Below are 25,296 nucleotides of genomic sequence, written 5' to 3'. Positions count from 1 at the left end.
CAAGGGGGACAAGGGGCCCAGAGTAGCCAGGTCTTCAACTATGTCACATCAGAAGCTTCCATGTTAAGTAAAATTTCTAAATTTTAATCTTGAAAATAAATTTAGAAATTGTGAATATGTTGGGTGGGCCAAACAAAACACATGGAGGATACATCTTCCCGAGAATCTAAAACTGCGCACATCACATGGGTGAGGCAGGTTGTGTAGTCTCAGTGCCCAACTTAAAGGCAACAATGCTGTTCCTTCTTTCACTGATGGTGTTTCCTGAACACCAGGTGCTCTGCTGTACCATTCTGAGACAGGCAGTGCTGTACCCATCAGCAGATGGGAATATTGAGGCTAGGGGAGATCCAGAGACCTGCCCAGTGCTCACAGTCTGTTAGTGGCAAGGCTGGGACTTGAAACTAGGTTGTCCTGATTCCAGATGCAATTTACTTAGCTGTGGTGCTACATGCTTCTCCTTCCACTTTCAAGTATATCTGCTTTTCCACTTCTCCTGCTCAGAGGCAGACCATGGCCAAAGTGGCAACTGGACCAGATGTTTCCATCCAGTTCTAAGCAGCCCCAGGCAGGAGCATCTGCTGCCTAACCTGCCTCATCTGCCGCCTAACCTGCCTCATCTGCCTTCAGCACAAGAAAACAGCCAGTGACAAAATGACTGAGCTTGCGGCAGCTACTGCTGGCGTTGTGCCTGATAAGTATTAGGTGGAAGCCATTGTTTCCCCTACAGACATTTCTGTTTGGGTTTATATACATTCATGTGCTTCATACAGAAACCAAATTTAATTAAACACAGGGAGCTGACTCAAGCATACTAAAAAAAAAACCGTGATGGATCATTTCCCGTCCTCACCTGCCTTCCTGTTAGAACTTCCCAGGAAGGTACTGGCCAGGACAAATCTTGCTCATCCTGTTCAATGACACTGTTAGGTTCTGAGGATGCAAGGGCATGGTCCCTTTCTCTCTGTCCTTCATCCTTTCTTCCTTAATTGAACTGAAAATAAAACCTAGAGAAAGAGATTCCAACAAGAATCTACAACCATGAACATCATAAAACTCAATGTCATAGACTGGCCAAGGCTTTTTACCAATGAAGATGCCAATTCCCTGGCCAATGTCAAGAGCAAGACATTCACCCAGGAGGTCTGAAAGCCACTGGCCCAACATGGCACCCAGGATCCTCAGAGAAATGAGATGAGGACTGGAAATAGAGCAGATTCTGGGGCCAGAGAGCCAGGTTCAAATTATGTTTCTGCCACTATAGTCTCAGGGAAGTCATATGTATTTGGATTCTTTTTGGTTTGGTTTCAAAAGATGTATCCTACCTAGTTCAATGAATCTGGAGATTTGTTTTCAGTTTCGTTTTTTTTCTTTTGATAACACAGGCACATGATAAAGAAATGTAGAAAGTACTTGCAGATATCCAGGTAAAGGTAAGTTCACATATGACGAAAGGAATAACAGTAAAGTGAATATCTGTGTTCTCTCAACATGGATGAAGAAATGGAATATACATGTGAAGTGTTTAGTTTTAAAAATCTCATTGTCATCATTGATCTTATTATTCTGGTTTCCCTATTTGTCTGCAGATAGACAAATGCATAGATGCTGTGAAACGCATATATGAGTGCAGCCCTTGTTCACTAATGTCATAGGATACACAGCATTCTGTATATGCATTTCGCACTTACCAGTGATTAAGCTGCTATCTGATGTTTGATTTCAGGGTCTGTGTTCATGACTTCTATGCTAGAACAATGGTCTGAGCTTAGCTGGAGTAGCTGAAAGAAATGTTATTCTAGTGTTAGCTAGATGGGAGCTGACATGGCCACTGACATCAACACTGGGGCACCGGTGACCACTTTCCTGGAGAACAGGGTGCATGTTGGAGTTTAGTAGACATGTCTCGGCACTCTGAAGGGAGAAGATCCTTCAGGGCACTCAGCCCTACAGGGAAAGTATTATACAATGCAGAAAGCCACAAATGCAAATTGGAAGTCCACAGACTGATTTTGGTCAGTACATACCCAAAATGATCCAAAAGGTTACTCTCTCCCTCTTATCAAAGCATTGAGTCAATTGTCCTCAACAAGTTCTGGTTAAAGCCAGGAATGAATGCTTACTGAAACCACCAATTGCAAATGAACCAAGGACCACAACACAGACTGGCCTTGAAATTCCTTGGAGCTATTGTGAATAATGCCACAATAAACATATGTGTGCATGTGTCTTTATAGCAGCATGATTTATAAGTTTTAGGGTACATGTGCACAATGTGCAGGTTAGTTACATATGTATACATATGTAACTAACCTGCACATTGTGCACATGTACCCTAAAACTTAAAGTATAATAATAATAAATAAATAAATAAATAAATAAATAAATAAATAAATAAATGAAATTCCTTGGAGCAGGATTTCTCCACTTTTGTGCTATTGACATTTGGGGTCAGATAAGTCTCTGGGGTGGAGGTTGTCCCACGCATTGTAGGATATTTACATGGCCTGTTCTCTACTCACTAGATGCCAATAGCAATACCCCTGCCCTCAGTTGAGGATTTGAGGATAACTAGGATGTCTCCAGACATTGCTAAATATGCCCTGAAGGTGGAGACAGAATCACTCCATTGAGGATTACTGATTAAGGTTATAGAAGTTTATCAAAATGTACATTCACAAAAGGCTTTCTATACCCAGTTAGGTAGAAAATGCCAAGTGTTCACTTAGCAGCCTCTCGGGCACCTGGGACGTTGGAAGGGATAAGAAGAGGCTGGCAGGAAAGGGTGAGCATGGACCCAGTCTGGCCAATGGGACATCAGGGCAAGGCCCCGGGGAGTTTCCAGGCAGTCCACTCCGGCATGAGACACACCCTCTAGAGATCACCACCGCACCCTTCTGTTTCTAAGCATACCTGTGTGAGAACACAGTGCCTGAATTGGTGACCTCCACCTTGCAGCCCAAGGCAGCAAGCCTGAGATCAGAAGAAAAGTGCTGAGGACAGTAGGTAGAAGGAAAGAAAGAGCCACATCCTCCCTTTGTCCTTTTAACCTAGAAGTGGAAACAGCCTCCTCTTACTGCTGAAACTCAGGGAGCCTCAATGCCTAGAGTGGTCATAGCACCTGTGTACAGCCCATTTACTACATTGCTGTCTTCTAAATACAAAAGGAGTTTGGGTGTCCTGGTAAGACACTGACTAATATAATAACCATCCAGTATTTTATTTGTTTTGCATTTAATTCTGTAGGTGGGTAATCTGCAAATCTTTTTCATATTTTAAAGAATCCTAGTAGTGGGTTGATTCAGAACAGTGTTACCTCAGTGAATTAATGTGTACACTGTACCCTTCCAAATAAAAAGCATTGTGTAAAGGCAAAAAGGTCGTTCAACTACTGATCTTTTTGGTTCTTGATTTACAAGAAATAGATGCATATAAAATACTTATAACCAAGTGTGAATATGGATTATCTTCCTCTGAGAACAGGGGTCTTTCTGAAAGAAGCAGGGAAATTAGCTAACACTTACTGACCGAGGACAACCTTCCGTAGTTTATGCGATTTGGAAGCAGCTAAAACAGTTGATACAAAAGATAACACAAAACAAGCAAAAACATCAAAACCAAACAACACTTATCATTCTGTGACTAGTTTCTTCAAATCCTTTCAGAGCTAATTTTCAAGGTGAACTAAGAGATATACCACAACAAACCAGCACCCAGCGTGGCCAGCTTCTTCAGACCGTAATTAAGGCCACCAGCTATTTTAGGTACTAACAAGACACTTTCCTCGTTCCTCGTTAGCCTGATTTTGTTGGAGGAGATTTTGATAGCCACAGAGGCCATAGAAGTTTAAATGGGTGAATTGCATGGTATATGGCTTACATCTTAATAAACCTGGTTCTTAAAAAGCTTAGTACTTTTCATCGCATCTATATCTTCAACCTTGGCACAAGTCAGCTTCATCTCTGACCCAGGCTGCTGCAAAATCTCCCACAGTGGTCTCCCTGTGGAGACAAAAGTCTCCTTTTGCCCCAACTCTACCCCATCATCCTATCTCCAGGCAGCAGTCTAGTGATGCTGTTAAAATATAAGTCCTATAATGTTACTCTCTATTCAAAATCTTTGATGTAGTCATCTCATTCACAAAAAACTGAAAGTCCTTATTGAACGTATAAAGTCTTGGCAATCTGAGTACCCTTGCCTGCCCTGCCCACTGTCTGTTCACGATCATCTGCTAACCTTCCCTGGCTCACTCTGCTCCAGCGGCTCTGCCCCTCTTGCTGTTCCTGCAGCACCAAGCAGGATTTTGCTTCACGTCTTTGCACTGGCACAGCCCCTGCCAGGACCACTCCTCCCTCATGACACTGTCTTAATCTGTGTTGCTGCAAAGGAATACCTGAGGCTGGATCATTTGTGAAGAAGAAAGGTTTATTTGGCTCACAGTTTTGCAGGCTGTATGAGAAGCATGGCGCCAGCATCTGCTTCTGTGAGAGCCTCAGGCTGCTTCTACTTCTGGTGGAAGGTAAGGGGAGCCAATGTATGCAGATCACATGGCAAGAGAGAGAAGCAAGAGAGAGAGAAGGAGGTGCCAGGGACTTTTCAACAAGCTCCTACAAGAACTAAAAGTGTGAACCCACTTACTCCTGCAAGAATGACACCAGGCCATTCATAAGGGATCTGTCCCCAGGATCCCAACACTTCCCACCAGGCTCTACTTCCAACACTGCGAATCAAATTTCAACAAACAAACCATAGTGGATACCCACCCCCCATTGCTGCCTCCTCTCCTTCAGGTCTTCATTCATGTGGCCCCTCCTAAGTGAGGTTTTGATTGACAGCTTCTCCTAAAACCCACTCATCCAGGCTGGCACTCCTTACCCTCTCTCCTTGCTTTATTTTTTTCCCAGAGAACTTAGCAACATCTAACACACTAAATATTTAACTTATTTTTATTTTGTGCCTCCCCACTGTGAGGAAACTTTTTTGATGTCAGGGATTTTGCTTGTTTGCTGCTGTTTCTCCAAGAGTAATTGGCACATAGTAGCAACTCCACATACATACCGTGAGCGAATAAACAAACAAATGGATGAATGAATGAATGAATGAAGAATGAATGAATGAATGGCTTGGCTGTGAGCAACAGCACAAAGTCACTTCCACATGTGATTCCTTCTTCTTCCTGGCAGCCCTAATTTCCAGTTCTTTCCTATGAACTTCTTCTGCCTACTTTTGTGCCCATGACTTGATCCTCTTGTTTATCAGTCACTGTCCCACATTTCCCACTTGCATTTAGGATCTTTGTAGCCAAGTTTATCTCTACCGATCCCACTGCCCTCTTAACAGAAACAGAGATTTCCTTTGTCCAAGAGAATTGTACAACAGCAAAGCCAGGCTACATTGGAACCTCAAGAGGCCAAGCTTGAGGTTTGGCTGCTGCATTTAATTGGTATCATGCATCTGATGCAAAAGTCTTCTCCTGGGCATTTATTAAGCACTCACAGAGTGCTGAGCACCAACATACGGGAAAGATGCAAAACCCAGTCATCCTTGAGTCAACTTACTCTAGTGTGTAAGGTTTGGTCTACAATGAGATCTGAAAGTCTATTGAGACTCTTTAACTTCTTGGAGACAAAGGTTGGATCTGATTTATTGGGGGAACCCTTCACAGTATTCTCAGGCAATTAATGCCCAATAAATATTTGTTAATATCAAAACCAGGAGCAACCCATTTAAGATTACTATATTTTAAAAAAGCATCACAGCCAAGATAAAATGACTTAGAATTAATGTCCACCGGCAAGGAGGGCCATGAAATGGTAATGTTTCAAAAGCAGTTCTTGTTACAACTGACTCAGCACTGAAAAGGAGAGTGAAGATGACCTTTTCATGGGGTACCACAAGTGACAAGGGTCACCGACTTTGTCCAGGAAAATTAGAGCCTATAGCACTTTAGAAGCACTAGTAATTATCAGTGATTATTTAAATGCCACTAGAGCAAAGAAGGAAATTAAATGTCCATCTGAAAGAAAATGTATACACATGCACACACACCTAGAAACGTATATACAAACATACATACTTATGCTTTCTGTTCAGAAGAAAAAACACAAGTGAGATATTCAAAAACTGTAGTTCAAAGTACATGTCCTGAACATCCTCTAAGTGCAAAGACACTGGGCTATAAAGACAAGTTTAAATACTGCCTCCAGCCCCAGAAAGCTTGAGAATTTATTGAGGGAATTATGATTACCTCCAAGTGGAATGGCATACTGAATCCCATTTCAGACTCAATTAAATTCAAATGCTTGTAATTCTGGGGTCCCTGTAAGACTTTTCAACTGGGCAGAAATTCAATAGAAAGGATTTCCTGGCTCTTGTAAATATGAAATGTGTAAACATCCTTAAGTGGGGAGCTCTCCTTCAGAAGAAATGAAACACTCTGTCTCCAGCCAATGAAAATTCTTTGGTTATAGCTCCTACTTGGTTCATTTTGTTAATTACAAAAGCTCTTTCTTCTAGGACAGGGTTTCTCAGTTTGGGCACTAGTCACATTTTAGACCAGATGATTATTTTTTGTAAGGGCAGCTGTCTTATGCATTGTAAGATGCTTAGCAGCTTTCCTGGCCTCTACTCACAACATACCAGCAATGCCCCAGTGGGACAACCAAAAATGTTTTCAGACATTTGCCCGTGTTCCTTTGGGGACAAAATGCCCTCAGTTCGAGTCCACTGGTCTAGGATAATTACTCTAAAGTAATTAGATCTAACCATACAGTAGAAATAATTATGCAGATGTAACTTCTCTAACTTCTCTTTCATGCATCATATCCATTCAAGCAATCCTGAAATATTATGTGTGCAATTGTGCCCCATTCCCACCTGCAATAATTTGATTAGAAACAATTAATTTGCTCTGGGTAATTATGAGTGAGATGCATGTAGGAAGTGATGGCAAATTATGATTAAAAAGTGGTAGGTTTCTCTTTTGCCCCTTAAGACTTGCTCATGGGTCCAGTTATGAGATAAAAAAAAAAAGAAAAAAGGAAAAAAAAACCCTCATGATAAGGAGCAACTCAAGGTAAGGAAAGACCTCCATGCTTATTACTTGAGGAGTTCTTTCTCTGGGTTCCAGGAGGGGTGAAGCCAGTTCATACAGTGTTGGGGACACATCAACAGGGCTAGTAAAGATGGAGAGCACCATCTTTAGAGCATTTCCAGGCATAATCAGGATTCCAGGACCTGGTGTCTGGAGGATGAAAACAACTCATGGGCCCCGGAACAAAAGGTGATGTCCCTTCTGATGACTGAGCTGGCCTGACTCTACCCACACTGCACTCATGAGGGGCCAGGGGGTGTCTGATGGCAACTGGGGAGATGGATTTTTGCCATCATGAACATGCTCCCACCTTCCTGCCCCTTGCTGCCACAGGGGAGGGTCAGGAGTGCCCTGGGAGCAAACACAGCCTGCTTTGCTGTCAGTCCAATATTTCAACAAAGAGTCAATTTCTACTCCAGCTCTGAACATTCAAGGTCAGAGCCCTTGGAGCCAGTGACCGAAAACCCCGTTGAATCCCAGAGCAAAAACACGTCCTCTCTCTGATCTAGGTTGACTGGTTCTCCTTAATGAGGGTGATTAGAGTGTGGAGAACACACTCTTTGAATACAGAATCAGGATATGTGTTCTATTAGGTGCCACCTCATTAAGGAAACAAAAGCATTTGAAGTTAGGAGGGTCTCAGAATGTCCAGGCCCTGCACCTGTGAGGAAACAACACAATAAAGACACACAATGAGCCATGCCAGTCCGCATATGCATGCACCGTGGGCAGACACACACCAGTGCTCAATCCTGAGCCACTGCTGCATACCAGGCTCCGTTCTCAGCACTGGGTGTGCAGCAGTGAGCCAGGCGAGAGTGACATGGGAATATTGTGTGAAGCCAAGGTTTGGAGGATGGTACTTTTTTTTAATCCACCACTCTCCCTCCACCCTCTAGTAGTCCACAGTGTCTGTTCTCATCTTTATGTCCATGTGTGCTCAATATTTAGCTCTCAGCCGGGAGCAGTGGCTCACGCCTGTAACCCCAACCCTTTGGGAGGCCGAGGCAGGCAGGTTGCTTGAGGCCAGGAGTTCAAGACCAGCCTAGCCAACATGGTGAAACCCTGTCTCTACTAATATTACAAAAAAATTGCCGGCCGTGGTGTTGCACACCTGTGATCCCAGCTGTTTGGGAGGCTGAAGCATGAGAATTGCTTGAACCTGGGAGGCAGAGGTTGCAGTGAGCTGAGATTGTGCCACTGCATTCCAGCCTGGGCAACAAAGCAATAGACTGCCTGAAAAAAAAAAAAAAATATATATATATATAGCTCCCACTTGTAATTGAGCACATGTGATATTTGGTTTTCTGTTCCTTCCTTAATTTGCTTAGAATTATGGCCTCCAGCTCCACCCATGTTGCTGCAAAAGATCTGATCCTATTCTTTTTGATGGCTGTGTAGTATTCTGTGCTATATATGTACCACATTTTCTTTATCCAATCTACCATCGATGAGCACCTGGGTTGATTCCACGTCCCTGCTATTATGAATAGTGCAGCGATGAACACACAAGTGCATGTGTCTTTTTGGTAGAATGGTTTATTTTTTACAGCACAAACCCCTCGAGGACCAGTGGAACTCAAAACAGTGGCTGCTTCTGCTTACAGTCCCCCCTTATAGTCACTGAGGTTGTAAGCTTGTTTGACACCTCAGCATAAACTAGTGTGTTTGGAATGTTGCAGAGATAATGCTAAGATAAAGGAAAAGAGGGATAGTGTGAAATGAGAGGATTCTGTAGAGATGGGTGTAAAGGAGAGCTTCTCAGAGGGTGTAAAATTTGAGATGTGACCTCAGGGTTTGAAAAAATGGAAACAGGCTGGCCATGGTGGCTCATGCCTGTAATCCCAGCACTTTGGGAGGCTGAGGAAGGTGGATCACTCGAGGCCAGAAGTTCAAGCCAGCCTGGCCAACATGGTGAAACCTCATCTCTACAAAAATGCAAAAATTAGCCGGATGAGCCGGTGCACACCTGTAATCCCAGCTACTTGGGAGGCTGAGGCACAAGAATTGCTTGAACCCAGGAGGCAGAGGTTGCAGTGAGCTGAGATCATGCCACTGCACTCCAGCCTGGGCAACACAGCGAGACTCTGTCTGAAAAGAAAAAAAAAAAAAGAAAGAAAACAAAAAGGGAACACAAGAGCAAAACCCTCAGGTAGCAATAGCTTCTCACGTCCAAGCATTCTCCACACACAGGCACACATGCAATCACACCAATACACATGCACATTCATACACAAAGACACAGATGGAGAGAGACAAGCAAGACGTGGGGATGATGAAGGGCTGCTCTGTGGCCCCCATGCACACGCATCCAGGAGATCCACACCATCAGTCGTACAGGTCCTTTTAGTAAAACATCTCCCAATCCAAACAGTGGCTGCATTTTCCACAGAGCAGTATGAACTCTGGTTCTTTTCTGGCTGTGGAGACTTAACACCATCTTATTGACCATTAGCATATATTAAAAGCAAGATACACTTCAAGCACTTAAGTAGCTACAGAACTGAGCAGTGCAGGCTTTCCCAGTCAGGTGTGGTTTACTACTCTGACCACGGTTCTGAGACTTAGTGCTTTAAATTGCATCCACCTGAGTATCTTCCAAGTACCTGGACCACATACCTTTTTCATTTACATGTCAAAATTACCCTCTGAGGGAGCTTTATGACTGTCAAATGACACATGAGGAAATAGGCTTGGAAAAGTTAAGTGAGTTGCCCAAGTTATCACAATTAATAAGAAATTGAACCAGGATTCAAGGTAATTCTGACTTCAAAACTTTGTTACTTCTACTTTTCGACGTTGCCTCTGTGCTAGAACCATAATCAGTTTGAGGCTTGCTTTTCTGACCCTGCCGAGAAACTAGAGATTCTGCATACCTGTAGATGATTAGCTAGTCAATTTATCTCACCCTTCAAAAGGAGGGTGGTTAACACACAGTGGACATAACCTCCATCCATACACAGTAACTTACAGGGCTACGTGATTTGCTTTCTTTCCCTCTGATGGAACCATCCTCAGGTCTTCAGACTCCTAACGATCAAGAGTAGATGAAAACTGTTGCATCTTTGCTTTAAAATTTCAAAAGTACCATTGTCCTCTTTTGGGCATAGTGATACTCAGGTATCACTTTTGGACAGAGTGATACTTCAGGCATCACCAAACTAATCTATGTTTCCTGGGTTCAAACTAAAAGGAAGAAAAAATTAATAAATCTCCCTAAGGCAACCCAGAATACCCTGGCCTTAAATTCCATCCCAGACCATTCTGTTCATCTGTTCAATTGACCTGAGTCACAGAGTCATCATTAAAGACATTTTCCTAGTCGAGAAGCTGAGGTGGGAGGATTGCTTGAGCCCAGGAGTTCAAGGCTGCAGTGAGCTAAATGAGCTATGATTGTGCCACTGCACTCCAGCTTGGGAGACAGAGCAAGACCCCCATCTCTAAATAAATAAAGACATTTCCGAACTGCAGGATGAGGTAAGTTTGACTTCCCATCTCTTTGGGTAGCCAGCCATTCTGCTCCCATCTCACTCTTTTTCTGTTGTTGGTTCTCATGAGGGTGGACAAATAAAAATAAAACATATAGGAGCTAAATGACCTAATTCAAGCCTTGATAGATTTATTTGCCTTTACTCATACAGACTATAAAGAATCTTAACCCAAAGTAGCCAGAAAAGGAAGAGGTACATGTGAAAGCCTCCATATATTAACAATATAGTTTGGGGAGCTTAAAGCAAATGGCAGCATTCACCTTTCCAGGACCTTGGCCAACAAGCCTGTGGTGCTCTAACATCTTCTCAGCAAGAACAGCAAGAATGGACTCCAGGCATCGGGACTGCACCTCCAAGTCCAGTAGCTCCTCCAAGCCTTGATCTTCAGCAATGATGAGCCGCCTCCCAGGACTCCTCTCTGTCCTAAGGAAATTAAGTCTTACCAACTAGAATCCATCTCAACTCATCTGAACCCTGACTGGTGCCCTCTGAGCTCCCCCACCCCAAGATAAGCCAGGGTGGTTTTTTACTTACAGGATAAAAAGACATTGCATGCAGATGGCCTAATCTCAGTCACTTCTCTGTTGAAAAGTCAGGCCATTTATTTCTAATACATGCTGAGAACCACATTCAAAATGTGATTAAACACCACCAGCCAAGAATGGCCATTATGCTTAACAGACTTATGAGGAGAGTTGCAAACTACACATAGAGTAAATGGGATGTTTTAAATTACACTAGATGGTCTATCTTCATTTTTTTTTAGTGCAATGGTTTGTTACATGCAGACCTAATAATGCTAAATAGTGAAATGCCAAGTCTCAGCTCTTAATAGCCTCATTTAAATTAAATTTATATTTATTGTCCTCCTAATTATTTTCCCAGCCATCTGACCAGGACACTTTCCTATGCCATGGCGAAAAGGCTGTCTCCCTACCACGGGGTTAATTAAAATACATTGCTTCTTGAGAATTCAAAATGATGTGGTAGAGAACTTGGCAACAGACTTTCCACTAAAGCCTTTTATTTTCTTTCAAAGATCACATTTTAGAAATTGCTTAAAAATTGCAAATGAGTCATTTAGACCATAGACCATATTTTTAATTGCAAGCACAACCTCCAATGGACAGCATCATTGAGATACTTTCCTTCCAAGGCATCTGTCCAGAGTCATATAAAATATCACCCCTGTAATCTTCCCACAGAACTCTCAAGAGTCTCTCTGGTTAGACCCATTCATATTCAGCAAACAGTCCCTGAGCACCCAGAGACAAAGGCTTTCAGCCTGGATCCAGGCACTAGGAGTGAATCTACTCTACACTTGAAGTATATATATGTATTGTGAAACTGTGGCACTAGGCACATCAGTTACTGCAGGGTGCATGTGTTGGTTGCCACATACTTCTAATGACAGCTCTGCTCTCAGTCCACATGGTATGGGTGGGGCTGACCCCCCTCTCCAGGTACAGAAGAGAGCCTATGGCTTCTACTCAGCCGACCAGAGCATTGCATCTGCCTAGGCAGAGATGGGCATGGGACCCCATGGTGGAAAAGCTTCATGTGCAGGATGTTAAAAGAATCTTTTAGGAATTGTAGAAGAGCCCATGCCTCTTCTAGGATTTAAAGCTATAGGGTTGAGAGCCTGGAATTCTAGAAGTTGGTCCATGAATGGGGTATGCTTGAAAATAAACCCAACCCAGAAGGAGGCAGAGTCAAGAGACGGCGGAAGAGTTGGCTTAGATGTCAACATTTAAGACCCTGGATCTGGTTATGCTCGGTTTTTGTCTGTTTATTTGTTTTAATATAGACTTTATTTTTTAGGACAGCTTTAGGTCCACAGCAAAATTGAGAAGATACAGAGATTTCCCATATACATCTTATGCTCCCCAATTCACTCCGCCTCCCTACTGTTGACAAGCCATGCCATAGCGGTGCACTTGTTGCAGTCAATGAACACACATGGTCACATTATCATCACCCAAAGCTCATGGTTTATATTCAGGTTCTTTCACATTGTTCATCCTACAGGTTTTGTCAAATGTACCAGGACATGTGGACCATACAGAATAGTTTCACTGACCCCTGGCAACCAGTGATTTTCTTCCTGTCTCCATAGCTTTGCCTTTTGCAGAATGTCCTAGAGTTGGAATCATACCGTATGCAGCCTTTTCAGACTTGCTTCTTTCACTTAGCAATATGCACTGAAGGAACCTCCATGTTCTTTTCATGACTTTATAACTCATTTATTTTTAGCACTCAGTAATATTCCATTGTCTGGATAGGTCACAGTTTAGTTATCATTCATTCATCAAAGGGCATCTTGGTTGCATCCAAGTTTTGTCAATTATGAATAAAGCTGCTGTCAACATCCATGTGCAGGTTGTGCTGTGGGCATACATTTTCACCTCCTTTGGGTGCCTGGACATTTTAGCCTGTGACCTATCATTATCTTTATTTATAAGCCACTAAGAGTCAGGTTTTCTATCATTTGTAATCACAGGAGTACTGACATGCACAGTTACATTCCAGGTTAATGCAATTGAGCCAGAAAGTGTCTGTGTGGCCTCAGATAAGACACTAACCCTCATTCAGCCTCAGTTTTATTATCTTTAAGAAGGGATAGGGATATTCTTACTCACCATATCACAGAATTGTTACAAAGACCAGGTAGAACAGCCTGCAATGTTCTTAGCAAGGTGCATCACGACAGGCTGTGAGTACTGGCGGCATTAAACACACCCCACACTTCTGCATAACTGAGCTCATCTCAGATTACACAGGGGCAGAGACTCCCTCCACTTCACAGCTCCAGGCATCATGTGAAGGATCGGGGCATTTCAACTGAGGCCTTTCATGCTACTTAATAATGCTTAATGATGACAAGACATCATCAGGAAACAGAGATCACCATACCAGGCCAGCTTCAAAAGAGGACTTAATCCAGAATCATTTGGCCCAGTGCCTCCCCCCCCAGTTTCAGAATCATCTGAATCACCCTCAGTGGGTGGAGGCACTGGGGCAGATGATTCGGAGTTAAGTCCTCTTTTGTTAAAAGATAATAGAGCCAGGCATGGTGGCTCACACCTGTAATCCCAGCACTTTGGGAGACCGAGGCATGCGGATCACTTGGGGTCAGGAGTTCAAGACCAGCCTGGCCAACATTGTGAAACCCTGACTCTACTGAAAATACAAAAATTGGCTGGGTGTGATGGCAGGCGCCTGTAATCCCAGCTACTCCGGAGGCTGAGACAGGAGAATCGCTTGAACCTGGGAGGCTTAGGTTTCAGTGAGCTGATATCGCACCACTGCATTCAAGCTTGGGCAACAGAGCAAGACTCCGTCTCAAATAAATAAATAAAAGATAATAGATATGCCCCCATTCCCTTCAAAAGAGCAAATATTTTTGGAGTGTCTGCATGTGTTAGCCAATATTATAGACACTGTAAATACAGAAGTAAGTAAAACAGGGGAAAAAAATTAAAACCTACTATTTCAAACTTATATTCTAGTCAGAAACAGGGGATAAATAATAAACAATAAAAATAAATAAACATTGCTTTGCTTATTTCAATAGTTTTTGGGGTACAGGTGTTTTTTGGTCACATAGCTAAGTTTTGTAGTGGTGATTTCCGATATTTTAGTGCAGCCATCACCTGAGAGTGTACATTGTACCCAATACATAGTCTTTTATCCCTCACCTCCCTCCCAGCCTTCCCTCATGAGTCCCCAAAGTCCATTTTATCATTCTTATGCCTCTGTGTCCTCATAGCTTAGCTCCCATTTATAAGTGAGAACATATGATGTTTGGTTTTCCATTCTTGAGTTACTTCACTTAGAATAATGGCCCCCAGCTCCATCCAAGTTGCTGCAAAAGACATTATTATATTTCTGTTTTGTGGCTAAGTAGTATTCCATGGTGTAGACATACCACATTTTCTTTATCCACTCGTTGGTTGATGGGCACTTAGGTTGGTTCCACATCTTTGCAATTGCGAATTTGCTGCTGTAAACATGCGCATGCAAGTGTCTTTTTCTTATTTATTTATTTATTTATTTATTTATTTATTTATTTATTTATTTTTCTGACATGGAGTCTCGCTCTGTCACCCAGGCTGGAGTGCAGTGGCACGATCTCGGCTCACTGCAAGCTCTACCTCCTGGGTTCGCGCCATTCTCCTGCCTCAGCCTCCCGAGTAGCTGGGACTACAGGCACCCGCCAACACGCCCGGCTAATTTTTATTTTTTATTTTTTTAGTAGAGACGGGGTTTCACCGTGTTAGCCAGGATGGTCTCGATCTTCTGACTTCAGATAATCTGCCCGCCTCAGCCTCCCAAAGTGCTGGGATTACAAGCGTGAGCCACCAGGCCCGGCCATAAGTGTCTTTTTCATATAATGACTTCTTTTCCTTTGGGTAGATACCCAGCAGTGGGATTGCTGGAATGAATGGCACAGAAAATAAGCAAAACTTGGAAAGGAAAATAGGAAGTGTTGGGGTAGGGGGTGCCTAGGGCATGGTGTGGCCTCACCTAGGAGGTAACTCCCGAGTCAGTGTGAGGGAGAGAGTCATGCAGATATCAGAGGAAGAGCATCCCAGGCACAGGGAGTGGAAGTACAAAGGCCCTGAGGTATGTGGCTGGAATACGTAAGAAAAAGCAAGTAGGTCCGGATGTCTGTGGTGGAGTTGGCTTCACCAAGTGGGGCGGTGGTAACTGATGCGATCAGAGATAATGAGGAATGAAGGGTAAGGACAGATAAGCCTTTTAGGACTTTGAGAACCATTCATGAAATTTACATATTTTAGGGAAGATGAACAAGAAGAAAATACACATATGTTCAAACATCTAGTTTTAGATCATGGTAAATACATGGAAGCAATAAAGCAAAATAAATGGATATACTAGACCAGGGTTCAATTCAGATTCACATATTGCATTTGGTTGTCCTGTCTCCTTAGTTTCTTAGTTTTGTAGGGCTTTGTTTTACAGGACTCCTTACTTTTATAGGACTTTGGATCTTTCTCTGAGTGAGAAGAGAGGCATTAGAGAATTTAACAGAATCACTCTGGTTGGTATATTGTCCGTAGACTGTTGGGGGTAAAGGCAGAAATAAACCAGTGATGAGGATACGGCAGGGGTCCAGGTTAGAGATTGTGGGCACTTGGACCAGGAGTAGCAGTGGAGGGGAAGCGGTAATTGGATCTTGGATTAGCACTGGCAGGATTTATTGATGGAGTGAATATGGAAGGAGAGAGAATTCTAGGATGACCCCAAGGTCTTCATCTGTGCCACCAAAGTGACGAAGAGAGATATGTCTGAAGGTACTTTCAGATCCACTACCTTCAGAAAAATTCTACCAGAATTTAAGATTTAAGATTCAGTTCTGATAGGTCACGTTGAAAAAGACCTCTTTTTTCTCCATCACTGGAACCACAGTACATAGTCGGGCATACATTGGGTGATCAGATCAGCATCATTTGTGCAACTTAATTTTTTTCAAATATTACAAAATTCAAGATTGCAAGAGGACAAACTAAAGCCTCTTGCAGCATATGTAAATATGACTTAGATTTTGGCTGTTTTTCCTACGACCCCAGCCAAGGTGGGCACCGTGAAGGAAGTTCTCAGAATAATTACTACTGGAGTAAGTCTAGTCATGCCAATGCCGTCTTCATTTACTAAACGGATGAGCCCAAACGGGAGAATGTGCAGGGCTAGGACACCAGAGAAGGAAAATCAATGCCTTTTATGCCTATACCATATATAGGTTTCCAGACCCAACGGAGAGCTATACTCTTGAAAATATCCACAACTCTCAAAGTCCAGAAACTCTATTCTTCTGAGTTATGCTGCTCAAACTCTACATTACTGCTGCAGCAGGAGGATCACTTGAACCCAGGAGTTCCAGGCTCCAGTGAGCTACGATCACACCACCGCACTCTAGCCTGGGCAACAAAGTGAAACTCTGTTTCTAAAACGTCTTTTTACACGTGGATTATCTGCTGCTGAGGGTGAGGAGAGTTGGGGATTCACTGAATTCCAGAGTTTGCAAGACAGAAAGTACTGGAATGTAGAAAATGTGTTCAAAGACACAATGACCCAGGGTCCAATCCAGAAGCTCTCACCAGCTCTGAAGTAAGCCACTGGCCTTCCTGATGCCAGGAATTCAGTAAGTGTTTTACTGAATGAGTGGACCCACAGCTAATCAAGGGAGCAAGCTTGCTTCTGACACTGCCTGGTACTAGCAAAGATATTGTACATTGCGATCTTGCAACTGATCCAAAGGCAGCATTAAGAATACAGCACTGGCTGGGCGTGGTGGCTCATACGGGTGCATCATCTGAGGTCAGGAGTTTGAGACCATCCTGGCCAACATGGCGAAACCCTGTCTCTACTAAAAGTACAAAAATTAGCCAGGTGTGGTGGTGTGTGCCTGTGATCCCAGTTACTAGGGAGGCTGAGGCATGAGAATCACTTGAACCCGGGAGGCAGAGGTTGCAGTGAGCTGAGATGGTGCCACTGCATTCCAGCCTGAGCAACAGAGCAAGACTCTGCCAAAAAAAAAAAAAAAGAAGAAGAAGAGAAGAAGAAGAAGAATACAGCACCGGGCCACCTGCGATGCTCATTTTAGAGAATCATAGTTTAGCTTTCCTCCTGACCTAAGTGCCAGCACCATTGACAACATGCATGAAGGATATAACCTCAGTCAGTAGCTGCAGAAAAGAAAGAGAGCATGAGCCATTTTTGACTCCAAGTATCATCATTTCTCACCTGCACATCGCCCAAATCTCCTAAATGGCCTCCCTGATCTGACCATCTCCCTTCTCCCAGCTACTCTCCACCTAACAGCCAGGGGAAAATGCAAATATGATCACCACACAAGAAATCCTCCACTGGCTTCCCATTGTTCTTTTGCTTTTTCAGCTTTACTGAGAGATAATTTCATAAAAGTTGTATATATTTAAGGTGTACAACTTGATCATTTGTTATACATAGATACTGTAAAACTGTGATTATCACAGTTAAGCTAATTAATACACCCATCGCCTCACAAAAGTAGCATTTTTATGTGTGGTGAAAACACTTAAGGTCCAACTTCTTAGCAAATTTCAAGTAGACAAGATAGAATTGTTAACTGTAGTCATCATACTGTGTATTCTATGTCTGGAATGTATTTATCTTGCATGACTGAAACTCTGTGATCCTTGACCAACATTTTCCCATTTCCTCCACTCTCCAGCTCCAGGCAATCACCATTTTATGCTCTATTTCCATGGGTTTGACTATTTTTGATTCCACATAGAAGGGAAATCACTTAGTATTTGTCTTTCCCTGTCTGGCTTATTCATTTAGTATAACATCTACATTCATCTATATTGTCACAAATTTCAGGATTTCCTTCTGTACTAAGGCTGAAAAATGTTATACTGTCTGTATATATAAGATTTTCTTAACAGTCATCTATCAACAGACATGTAGGTTGTCTAGGCAGTTGTGAATAACACTGAAATGAACATAGAATGAAGATATCTCTTTAACATACTGATTTCCATCCTTTGAATATATACCCAGAATTGGGATTGCTGAATCATTGCATAGTTCTATTTTAATTTTTTGAGGAAACTACATAATGTTTTCCATAATGGTGGTACCAATTTACATTTCACCAACAGTGTGCAAGACTACCCTGTTCTCCACATCCTTGCCAACATCTGTTATCCTTTGTCTTTTTGATAATAGCCATCCTAACAGGTGTAAGGCCATATCTCACTGCAGTTTTGATTTGCATTTTCCTAATAATTAGTGATGTTGAGCACCTTCTCATATATGTTCTGGTCATTTTTACATCTTCTTTTAAGAAATGTCTGTTAAGGGCCTTTGCTTATTTCCCTTGAGATATAATCCAAGTGCCTGAATCTATCCTACAACTACAGCACGAGTAGCTCCTTCTTATGGCCCCAGCCTCAAATCCACCACTCTTTGTGCACCACAAACCTCCAGCCACACACATCCGATTTCAGGTCCTCCAACCCCCACTCCTTCCAGCCACTGAGCCTTTGCACAGGCAGTTCCCTTTGACCTGACCACACCAAATCTCCCTATTGCAGGTTCTTAGAGCAATGCGTACCTCCTTTTCATTTTTGTGATGATATGGATAATGTGTGCAGCTCTCACTACTTGCTTTTTGAAGCACAATTTTACCATATGTACTGTTGTATTGTTAATGTCTGTCTCTGTGCCTGGTACTCAGATGGCAATCAACTACTAGTTGAATGAAAGAATGGGTGAATAATAAATATCATATCCCAGGTACATTATAGGCATTATCCCTAATCTTTATGATAAAAGCCTGCAGTAGGTTGTCTAAATTTTCTGATTTTATAGAAGAAAATGAGGCTCACAGAAATTAATTAAATTAACCAGGATTTAACAGGTGTTAAGGTTCCATGAATGTCAATTAGGCCTAGGTGATTTATAATGTTTTATAGGTTTTATATATCCTAGTTAATTTTCAGCCCACTCATTCCATAAATTACTGACAAAGGAGTACTGATGTCTTCAAGTGTAGTTGTGGACTTGTATATTTCCTCTTTCAATTCTATTCATTTTTCTTCATGTATTTTGTAGCTCTGCTAATAGATGCACACATTTATTTCTGTTATATCTCCTTGGTGAAATGACCATTTTATCCTAATGTACTGACCTTCTATAATCCTGATAATTTTCCTTGTTCTAAAGTCTACTCTTTCTGATATTAATTTAACTCATCTTTCCTTTGCTCTGTACTTGCAAGGTATATTTTCTGCTAGCCTTTTACTTTTAGCCTATCTATGTCATTATTATAAATGGGTTTCTTATAGATCATGTATAATTGGTTCTTTCATGAATTCATCTTATGATCTCTATCTTTTGGTTGGTGAGTTAAGATCATTTAGATTTTATGTAAGTGTTGATAAGATTACATTCAGGTTTACCATTTTATTATGTGTTTTGTTTGCCCCTTCTTGTGTTTGTTTTATAATAAAAACTACTTAAGAAAATCAACAAAAAATGTTATTACTCAAGTGTCAGGAAAGGTGGAAGCTGACTAATCTATGTTGGCTTTGACTGGACCACTCTGCCTCATTTGTCTTTTATACTCCTCCTGGGACATTAGACCATTCTTTCCTTGTTCTTCTCACAGAGCAGGCAGAAGCTCAAAAAGCAAGTGAAAACACACAAGGCTTCCTAAAGCCCAGGCTTTGATTGGGCAAAGCAACACTATCACTTCATTCTGTTGGGCAATGCAAGGAGCAAAATGAACCAAAATTCAAGGGGCCTGCATACATACCTCCGCTTTAGGGGAAGGAAATAGTAAGTCAAGTGATAAAGGAACCAACATATCAGTCTACCGCAGTTCTGTAACCAGATAACCAGACATAGTTAGATGGACCAGATACTAGGTTGATGTCCAATAACACCTACAACAGACATAGAGAGGAAAGTTTGATTATAAACAGTAAGTTATATTGTGGGCCACAATGATCAATTAACAAATGGTCTTTTTTATTAACTAAAGTCACCAAAGATAGCATATTCCATCCAATAGTTTTATACTAAGAGGAAAGACAGAAGGTATGCTACTTATACCTTTCTTGGTAAAGGTAAGAATTACTATTTTTTTCTTCCATACCAGGAAGTTAGATGTAAATGTCTCTAGACCTGTGTTATTTCATGTGTTAGCTTCAATATCCATATGGCCATCTAAATTGAAATTAATTTTAAAAATAAAAATTTAGTTAATTGATTGCACCAGCCACGTTTCAGTGGCTTGGTTGTCACAAGTGACTATTGGCTACCATATTGGATAGCATGCGTATAGAACATTTACATCGTTGCACAAGGTTCTGTTGGACAGTACCCCTCTGGAGCATTACAGTATCATAGGAGGCTTTCATGAAGCCTCTTTTGATGTTACCACTGTACAACCTACAGGGATAAAAGTGGTCACAGAATTCAGTGCTGGTTTTTAAGTTGACAAGTCAGCATCAGTTGCTCATGTAATACTGTCATCTACTCTGCATCCTGTAGTTACACCAAAATGTATTTTGGTTAATATTTGGGGAGAGAAAATGATAACAAAAAGTGTAAAAAATAAGGAAAAATATGATGTATAGTGTAAAAGAATGAGAAAATGACTTTTTCAAACAATAATGAAATAATTTAATACAGAAAGCTGACTACAAGTTGGAACATCTATTCCCAGGAACCACTGTCATTTAAAACTTGACTTTCTCATGCAGATAACTCTGTAGAAACAAATCTGAAAATGTATGCTAACTCTATGTATCATGTTGAGACTCGATCAAAATGGAAAGAAATAATTTGTGTAGGATACCTTAAAACTAATCTTCCTCATCACACACATTTTTACTGGTGGAAGGATGAGAATTTATGGAATATTGAGGGTATTTGAGAAGAGGATGCCTAGGTACTTATAATCAGACCCAGGAAATTTTAATCTGATTTAATACCAGCTCTATTAGAACCAAGCTCTCACCTATTTCATGCAAATGATAATTTATGTCTTAATGGCCCAAACACTTTACCTCCCACTGTGTTTTCAATCAAACTTAAATTTATATCCCTCTTTTTTAGAATACTATATATTTTACTTGCACTTAGAGATGGCTGAATGAATTATAAAAAGTTTCAAACTCAAAAGCAATCCTAGCCTAATTTTTAAAGTTTGTCAAAAAAAAAAAACTGAGCCAAGCAGACAGAAAAGTGATACAATTATTCTGATTTATGGTCTATATTTTCTCTGTCTCACTTAACCACTCTTATCCCTTACAAAAGGGAATTCAGCAGAATTATGTAGCCAAGAGAGATAACACTTTCTTCAGCTTCTTTTTATTTCTCAGTAAAATATCATCATGTTCTGAATGTTGGTGTCCCCCACCCCAAATTCATATATTGAAACCTAACCCTCAATGCAACAGTATTAAAAAGTGGGGCTTTTAGGAGATGATTAGGTCATGAAGGCAGAGTCCTTGTGAATGGAATTAGTGCTCTGGTAAATGAGGCCCCAGGGAGCTCATTAGTCCCTTCCACCATGTAAAGACACAGCCAGAAGCCACATCTCGGCTTTTGTTTTCTTCTTTGGTCTTTTGATGGAGGGTATGTAAAGACAGTCCGTTGTTCTTATTTTTTCATAGATCCTTTGTAAATAAAAATAATGTCCTTAACATTATGATTGCATTGCGTTTGGCATTTTATGAAACTGACAAACTGTTTTTACAAAGTAAAATACCATTTTACATTCCCGCCAGCAGGGTTTGAGAGTTGGAGTGCCTCCACATAACTGGCTAACACTTGGGAAGGTCAATTTTCATTCTAGGTACTCTAATAGATGTGTAGTGGTATCTCACTGTGGATTTAATTTTCTTAATTTCTCATTTTCTTAATATCTCATGATGTTAAACCATGTGCTTAATTTACCATCTGTACATCTTCTTTAGTACAACACTTTCTTAAATAACTTGCTCACATTTAAGGGGTTGTTTGTTTTCTTATTAAGTTTTGAGGGTTCTTTATATATTCTGAATACAAGTCATTTATTAAATATGTGATTTTTCAATTATTTTTCACAGTCTGAGACTTGTCTTTTTTCCCCTTAGTTTTAGCAGTCTTTGCTATTAGAAAGCACTCTTGCAGATGAAAGATGGGAAAAGGTGAATTTTCAAACTGCATCAAGGGTATTTTGTCAGTAATGGGTTTTGGAGTAAAGTTAAAATTAATAATAGCTCTTGCTTTATTTAGTTAGTGTATTTATTTCTGGAATATTTGACACTGGCTATAATTTAAAATGGGAAGCCATTTACATGCAGTTTTTGATGAAGCTGGAATGACAATTAAATTAAAAAACAATATTCTTTTAAAAAAATAATACTAGAACAATGTAATAGCCATACGCAAAAAATAAACTTTGATCCACATTTCATGCCATATGCAAAGATTAACTCCAAATGGATCCCAAATATAAATGTGAAATCTAAAACTATTGAATTTCTTGAAAAAAAAGTGAGAAAAACTTTTGCATCCTTGAGTTAGTCTAAGTTTTCTTAGGTAAAATACAGAGTACGTTTGATTTAAAAAAAAAAAAAAGAAAAAAAAACCTTGGGGAAGTGTTACTCACCTGGATTATGATGTAAATGTGCCCTCTACAGTTGTGCAGTATGCAACCAGCACATCTGTATTTGATGGCCCTGCATCTGTGCCTTTGTTAGGATGAAAATAAGCAACTATTCTAAAGCCTTTATGCTGAGTTGGAGACATAATTCAACTTTGGCTCACCAGTATAAAAAGGGCCTTAAAAGTAAGTACAGTTTAGGACCGCATCTGCTTGCATGGAAATGGCGCTGGTCTAAGAATTCTGAGACTTTCAATCTTTTTCCCTTTTTGCCACTATCTTGGGAAGATTGAGCAACTTGCTTCCATTCTCTGAACCTCAGTTTTACCATCTACAAAAATGAGGAGAATGGACTAGATGTACTCTAAGGGCCCTCTGAGACCAGCTTTTCCTTGGGGGCAGAAGAAGAGTGGAAGCTCTGAAGTGAGGCCTGGGTGGATCCACCAGTACTGTCATGACCTGCGGAGGGGCTGCTGCCATGCCCAGGTAGGACTCCCCCACAGGAGGTGGGTACCAGTCCTGACTGTTATACATGTACGAAGTACACAATGAGAGGTGGAGGATGTTTCCTGGAGTCACTAAGCTAATAACGCATAGGGTTGTGTTTTCAATCCAAGAATTTAAATTCCGAAGCAGATGATCATGACCCCTATGATGCTGCTTCCTCCAGCTCCATAACCTGATGCTCAGATAGTTCAGCCTCCCAAAACCAATCTCTGTCTCCCTGCCTCAGAAACCACCATGTTCTATAAACTTGGAATCCCCTTTCTGCATTGCACACTGGCCAGCGCCCCAGGCAGAAAGCTGGAACAATTGCAAGACTCACCACAGGCATTTCTCTTTTTACAGGAGTCACAGAATTCTTCTGCCTAATGTCCAATGTCTGAAAACATTACAATATATATATAATCATATAAATATATTATTAATATATGAAAATGAAGAAATATTTTATTTATATATGTATACAATGATGCATCATTTAATGATGGGGATACATTGTGAGAAATCTGTCATTAGGAGATTTTGTCATTGTGTGAACATTGTAGAGTATACTGACACAAACCTAGACCCTAGACGGACTAGCCTACTACACACCCAGGCTATATGGAATAGTCTGTCACTCCTAGGCTACAAGTCTGTGCAGCATGTTACTGTACGGAACACTGAGGGCGACTGCAACATAATGGTAAGTATTTGTGTAGCTAAACATAGAAAAGGTACAGTAATAATATGTTATAAAAGAAAAAATGATACACATGTGGGGGGCACTAACCATGAATGAAGCTTATAGGACTGGAAGTTGCCCTGGGTGTCAGTGAGTGAGGGGTGAGTGAATGTGAGGCCCAGGACATTACCATATACTACTATGGACTTTGCAAACACTGTCCACCTAGGCAACATTAAGTTTATTTATTTTGCCTTCAGTGATAAGTTAACCATAACTTACTACACAATGATTTACTTTATAAACGCTTACTTTTTAAAGACATTTAGACTCTTTTTAATAAAACTTAGCTTAAAACACATATTGTACAGCTGTACAAAAGTATTTTCTTTCTTTGTATCCTTATTCTATAAGCATTTTTATTTAATTTTATTAGTTTTTAAACTTTCTATTGAAAACTAAGACACAAACACGCATATTAGCCTAGGCTACATTTTCCTTACAGATGTTCCATTTGAAAGGGTTTCCAAAATTCAAAAGAACCAGGGAAGGGGAGAGAAGAAATGACAAAGAACTTTCTGTCACCCTCAGATATTTTGATATCATTCAACCTCACCTCCAAGTAGAGAAAATGACCAAAATATTTAACATTGGCAGAGCCACACTGACATTTACTAGCTACAAATGGCAGCATTTTCTTTCCAATCTGACCTGCAAGAAAAACATTCAGGTTGACAACTGACTGGAGTAAGAAGAGAGCTTTCACTTCAATTATATCTTCAATTATATCTATGTTGGACAAGAATTTGTGTTTCTCCCTTAATTTATTCTTCATGAGATGGAGCATTTAGGGAAATTAACTGTAACCATAAGGGAAGGCTGACTTACAAAAGCAAAAATAAAAAAAAAAAAATCTCAGAGGAAAATATGTACTTAAAAGTTGCCAAAGGATACAAATTATGTTGTTTTTCTGTCATATGAACAATTAGTACAGTCAGAGAAGGAGCTAATCCCAAAAATAAGACCTACATTCATAGCTCATTTTCAAAATGACATTAACTAGGATCTCGTATTTACAACATCTCTGCTCTTTCTTGCTTCCAAACTTTAATAAAAACTAAAGATGCACTGAAGATACAGCTCATAAAGAACTTTGGTACGGTAGTTTCTGTCCAGAGAATAGAGGAGAAAACAAAGATATTTGCATTTCAGATCCATTGATACAATACAATGCACAGGAGTCTAACTCTGCCATGGGGTATCCACAGTTCTAACCAACAAATGGGGATTTTTAGCTTGTGCGTGCCTTCTGGAAATTGTCATTGAAAGATAAAATAAATTGTATTTTAATGTTGGGGACCTACAAAGCCATCTC

General features: G+C 40.8%; 1 annotated feature.

Annotated features, from left to right (window-relative positions):
- Nucleotides 22,599-23,100: an enhancer, noted in NCBI's record as "NANOG hESC enhancer chr12:126727348-126727849 (GRCh37/hg19 assembly coordinates)". NCBI's record gives its function as "activates a minimal SCP1, AML or CMV promoter by ChIP-STARR-seq in naive H9 embryonic stem cells {active_cell/tissue: H9 hESC(naive)}" and the evidence as "EXISTENCE:reporter gene assay evidence [ECO:0000049][PMID:30033119]".

The sequence above is a fragment of the Homo sapiens genome, chromosome 12 (assembly GCF_000001405.40).
Source record: "Homo sapiens chromosome 12, GRCh38.p14 Primary Assembly".
Lineage (NCBI taxonomy): Eukaryota > Metazoa > Chordata > Mammalia > Primates > Hominidae > Homo > Homo sapiens.
Note: the sequence above shows the minus strand (reverse complement) of the source record. Positions and strands in the feature narration are given on the sequence as shown.